We start from the raw sequence: 6000 nt of genomic DNA, 5'->3' as shown, positions 1-6000 counted from the left end.
GGCCACATTTTGTTTTATTGCATTTATATGAAATGTCCAGAATAGGCAAATCCATAGAAAAATAAAGTTGGTTGGTAGGTATCTGGGGTTGGGAGAAAATTTGGATTGACCACTAATGGGTACATAGTCTCTTTTTGAAGTGATGAAAACATTCTAAATTAGATTTTGGTGATGTTTGCACACCCCTGAAAACATAGTAAAAACCATCGAATTATACACTTTAAATGGGTAAACTGTATGATATGTGAATGATATCCCACTAAATCTGTTTTTTTTTAAAAAGACTGTCCTTATATAAAAATGTTTGTTAGAGGATACAGCAGCAACTTAGAAACAGGGCTTACATTATAGTCAGGAAAATGGATTCCTTGCATGCAAATATAAAGCAAACTGCAGTTCAATAAGCTAATGTAAAATCAGTAACACTTTCAGAGCTAAGGGATTTCAGAGGTGGGAGGGGTCCTCTAGCCAGAGGAAGAGGGAGATAGGGAGAGGTTCAGAAAAAGCTTTCAGCTGGGCCTGAAAATGTGAAAATTCCTAAGTAGGAAAGTACAGAAGACCTAGACGTGTGGTCCTGCAGGCTGATCACATCATGGACAAAGGCAGAAAAGATGGAAATGTGAAGGACATGGCCGGGTGTGGTAGGTCACGCCTGTAATCCCAGCACTTTGGGAGGCCAACGTGGGCGGATCACTTGAGGCCAGGAGTTTGAGACCAGCCTGGCCAACATGGCAAAATCCTGTCCCTGCTGAAAGTACAAAAAAAGTAGCCAGGTGTGGTGGCAGGCGCCTGTAATCCCAGCTACTCAGGAGGCTGAGGCAGGAGAATCTCTTGAACCTGGGAGGCGGAGGTTGCAGTGAGCCGAGATGGCTCCACTGCACTCCAGCCTGGGCGACAGAGAAAGACCCTGTCTCAAAAAAAAAAAAAAAACTGTGAAGGACATGTTCAGAAAGTTTGGCTGTAGCCAAGGGTTTGTATAAGGAAGCAATGGATTTTTTTAAGTCAATTGAATAGGTTATAATGGTGTATTTTTGTGCTAATTTGCATTTCTATTATTATTGAGGATGTATTTGCAATGTTCTTTTTTTCCTTTTAATTTACAAGTGTTTTGTTTCAATTCTGCATATATTATAATTTATATTACACACACACTTTTTTTTAAATTTAACCCACAGTTCTATCTGAAATTTGGGTGAGAATATGGCATGATATAGGGATCTATTTAAATTATTATTTTTTACATAAATAGCGAATTGTCCCATCATCATTTATCAAGTAATCCACCCTTTCCAGATAGATTTAAAATGCCTCCTCCATCACATAAACAGTAGCTCCAAGCCCGCAGACCCCGTTTGTCGTCTGGTTTCTCATGCTTCCAGCACAGCACAGTGGTGTGCAGTTTGGGAAGCAAAGATCTTGCAGAGATCTATCCAGAAGAGAACACTGGAGGCCTCCCGAACAAGCAATAATAGAAGATTATGGTTCATTCCACACAGTCACTTCACAGTGTGCTGGAGAAGGCATCAAATGATCTAGCAAATGTCCATCACCGTATGTCTGAGTGGTGGAATTACCAGTGTTTTTCATATCCCTCTTTCCTCCATTCAAATCTTCTGTGAGTAAATATTCAGAAGACGAACAATAAATAGTAATCAAACAAAAACACTTTTAGGACATTTAAAGCCTTGAAAGGTTTAAAGTAACTCATCTGCAGGCACGTCTGGGTCCACCACGCAGTGTTATCCTGGGTGCAGGGGCCCCTAGAGATCTTTGTGCCCAAGCTCACCTGGCTGGCTCCCCGCAAGAGCAATCATCTCTAAGAGTGTGAGCCTATGGCTCCAGCCAATCCGGATCCATCTAAACTCTATTTCCCCAGGAGCAGTTCTCCCTTCCCTCAGCCTCTGCCTGAAACATCACCCCTTAACTGAATAACAAGGGGGTGCGCTGCATAAAAGTTGCTGCCCGACCAGGAGCCGTGGCTCACGCGTGTAATCCCAGCACTTTGGGAGGCCGAGGTGGGTGGATCACCTGAGGTCAGGAGTTCAAGACCAGCCTGACCAACATGGTGAAACCCTGTCTCTATTAAAAATACAAAAAAATTAGCCGGACGTGGTGGCGGGAGCCTGTAATCCCAGCTACTCAGGAGGCTGAGGCAGGAGAATTGCTTGAACCCGGGAGGTGGAGGTTGCAGTGAGCTGAGATCGCGCCATTGCATTCCACTCCAGCCTGGGCAACAAGAGGGAAACTCCGTCTCAAAAAAAACATTTTTTTTGCTGCCCATATTTCCCTAAGGAGAGGGGGATTTCACTGAACCCAATACTGTATTTGGAAGCCACAAAGTTGTTTCTTCCCTAAGTTTTGGAGAAATCAACATGGGGAACCCACAGACCCTCAAATGGGAAGAGAAGTGCTTGGGAAAGGGGAACTGCCTAGTGTAAAGTCCACCTGGATGACAAGCATAAAATGTATGTGTGTGTTGAGGGGAGTGGGAGAACCAGAGCAGAAAAAGCCTTTCGGGATCTATCTGGAGGGAAGGCATGACCAAGAACGGTGTGGAATCCACCCAGCCTGAGATGTCTCCTGTGGGGCCTTGTGCAAGGAGAGGCCTCTCGGTCTCACTTCCTCATTTGAATAAGAAGGATAATAACATCTATGTTACTGGGCTCTTATGAGGATTAAATGACGTGATACTGAGCACCTAGCAGGGCCTGAATTTTACTGAGGCGCGCGTGTTAATTTCCTCCACTCAGTTCTGCCTTATATGCACAAAAGGCACCACTTCTGTCCCCTTCAGGAGGGCCTGAAATGTGCCTTGAAGCAGACTCCAGAGCCAGGAGACACCAATGGGGAGTGTGTGTACAGTAAGTCTCTGTCTCCCCCAGGGAGGACAAGGTCAGGGACGGGGCCAACCATGTGACTGTACAGGTTCCAAGGTAAAAATGACAAGGGCACAGGAAATACTTTGGCTGCAGCAGAAAACCCCAGAGCTTGGCTTTGCACATTGTCTTTCTGGCCCAGCATAGAGGCATTGTGCAAATTAAACAAATAAACAGTAATCTTGGCCTTGGGCTCAAAAGTCTCCACATTCTCCTGTTTCTTCCTCCAGCTGGTGCCTTCCCTGTCGCTCAGACCAAAATCCCAGAGAATTATTTGGTTCCACGCTTTCCCTAAGTCCCACACTTACATAGACAAATTTTGTTACCTCTGTTTTCTTTCCTTTCCTTTTTTGGGGGGTAGGGGGGCAAAGGGGTTGGGGACAGGGTTTCTCTTTGTTGCCCAGGTTGGAGTACAGTGGCAAAATTATAGCTCACTGCAGCTTCAAACTCCTGGGCTTAAGGGATCCTCCAGCCTCAGCCTCCTGAGTAGCTGGGACTACAGGTACATGTCACCATGCTCAGCTAAACATTTTTCATTTTTTTAGAGACAGAGTTCTCACTATGTTGCCCAGGCTGGTCTCAAACTCCTGACCTCAAGCAATCCTCCTACTCTGGCCTCCCAAGGCACTGGGATTACAGGCTTGAGCCAATGCACCCATTTCCTCAATATGGCTCCAGTGGGCTTTCTCTTTTCCATTGCTCCTGGACCACCCAAGGCCCCTTCCACTCCTCTCTGCTTCAGCAAGGCACACCCCAGGCCAGCCTGTTCCCATAGCAGTTAGAGGGATCTTTTCAAACCATGGAGTGGATCCTACTGCCACGCCTCCCCACTACTTAGAGCCTATCAAAAGTTTCCCCTTCACTTCCCCTCGCTGTCAATACAGCCTACAGGAAGTGGGGAGAAGGCACCTCCACTTCCCACCCCCACTCCCTTCCTCTCCCCTCTCCAGCGAAACTGGCTTCCCTTCCCAACCACGCTGAGCCCCCACCCTCCTGAAGGCACTGAAGGCATCCCTTCTGACAACCTCGCAGCTCTTATCCCTGCCCAGAGCGCCTGCCCCAAGGCTGTCAAGTCCTCCCACAGGCCTCCCTGCCCATCCACCGGAGGCTAAGGCCTCCTCATTTGCTTCCCCCATAGCAGCTGACTACTCATTTGTCTTTTATCCTTGGTCTGCCCCTCAGTAGGAGGCAAGGAGGCAGGCACCATGCCCCTGGTTGCTTGTGCACTGTCCCAGCCTAGTGACAGGTGCAGAGCAGGTGTCAGGTAACATTTGTTAAATGTCTGAGTGACTAAATAGATGAAAGAATTAGCCGGGCATGGTGGTGCATGCCTGTAGTCCCAGCTACTTGGGAGGCTGAGGCAGGGCATCCCTTGAACTCAGGAAGTTGAGACTGCAGTGAGCTGTGATTGCACCACTGCACTCCAGCCTGGGTGACAAAGACCCTGCCTCAAAATAAATAAATCAGTAGGTGAAAGGAATTGGTAATGAATGACACTATAGAGCCAAGCACACTTCTTTGACTCTCCAAGGTACAGTGTCACGGTGGGTTAGGGTAGGACCCTAAGCAGACACCCACATATTGGACTTCAGGCTGGCATGGAGCCCCAGAATTTGTATGGGAGCTTGAGTGCTGACTTTTTGGAGAGAACCCAGCACCGGTCATGCCAGCACCTCCTCTCTGGGCTGTGTTTGTCTGTCCTTGTTTACTATAAGAGATAGGAACAAAGTCAAAGTATTTTTCCTACTCACACACCCAACACTCAACACAAAACACTTCTGAGACCAGATGTTCCCCACACACTAAACACTTCTCCGGTAGACTCCAGCTGGGTGTCCTATAATTCAATCGATTTGGACCTGAGCCACCTGGAGTCAGTCAGATCCCTCAGGTTAAGGGCCCAGTCCTGCCAGACCGCCTCCTACTTCAGACGCCAATCCCAAGTGGTAGGTTGTCATCTATACTTCTGATCAACCAGCTATAAATCAGAGTTCTCATGACCTCTTCCTTAGGTTCAATTAATATGCTAGGATGGCTCACAGAACTCAGAGAAACACTTATGTTTACCAGTTTATTATCGTAATAAAGGCTGTGATAAGGATACAGACGAACAGCCAGATGTAGAGGTATATAGGGCAAGGTCTGGAAAGGTCTCAAGTGCAGGAACTTCTGTCCCCAAGGAACTGTGGTGTGCCACCCTCTCAGCATGTGATGTGTCTACCAACCAGGAAGCTCTCTGAACCTTGTAGTTCAGGGATTTTTTTTAAGTTTCATTTCATTTATTTATTTTTAATTTCAACTTTTAGGTTCGGGGGCACATGTGCAGGTTTTTTACATTAGTATATTCTATGATGCTGAGGTTGGGTGTAATTGATCCTGTTAGAGAAATGCAAATCAAAATCACAATGAGATACCATTTCATACCAGTCAGAATGGCTATTTTGTTCATTTCTAATTTTTGTGGGTACATAATAAGTGTATATATTTATGGGGTACCTGAGATATTGATATTTTTGATACAGGCATACAATGTGTAATAATCACATCAGTGTAAATGAGGTATATATTGCCCTCAAGAATTTTTTTTTCTGTTTTTTAAATCATTTATTTTTTTTAATTTTAATTTCTGGGATACATGTGCAGAACCTATGCAGGCTTGTTACATAGGTATACATGTGCCATGGTGGTTTGCTGCACGTGTCAACCCATCATCTAGGTTTTAAGCCCCACATGCATTAGGTATTTTCCCTAATGCTCTCCCTCCCCTTGCCCCCACTCCCTGACAGGCCCCCAAGTGTGATGTTTCCCTCCCTGTGTCCATGTGTTCTCATTGTTCAACTCCCACCACTTGAGTGAAGCTCAGGGAATTTTTGGAGGCTTCATCACATGGGCACGATCAATTATTAACTCAGTCTCCAGCCCCTCCCTTCTTCTCAGAGGATGGGGGATGGGGCCGAAATCTCCAAGCTTCTAAACATGGCTTGTTCTTTCTGATGCCCAGCCCCCATCTAGGAGCCCACCAAGAGGTGCCTCATTAGAACAAAATATGTTCCTATCGCCCAGGAAATTATAAGAGTTTTAGGAGCTCTGTAACAGGAACCAGGGGCAGAGACCAAATATACAT

The sequence above is a fragment of the Homo sapiens genome, chromosome 1 (genome assembly GCF_000001405.40).
Source record: "Homo sapiens chromosome 1, GRCh38.p14 Primary Assembly".
Taxonomy (NCBI): Eukaryota; Metazoa; Chordata; class Mammalia; order Primates; family Hominidae; genus Homo; species Homo sapiens.
Note: the sequence above shows the minus strand (reverse complement) of the source record.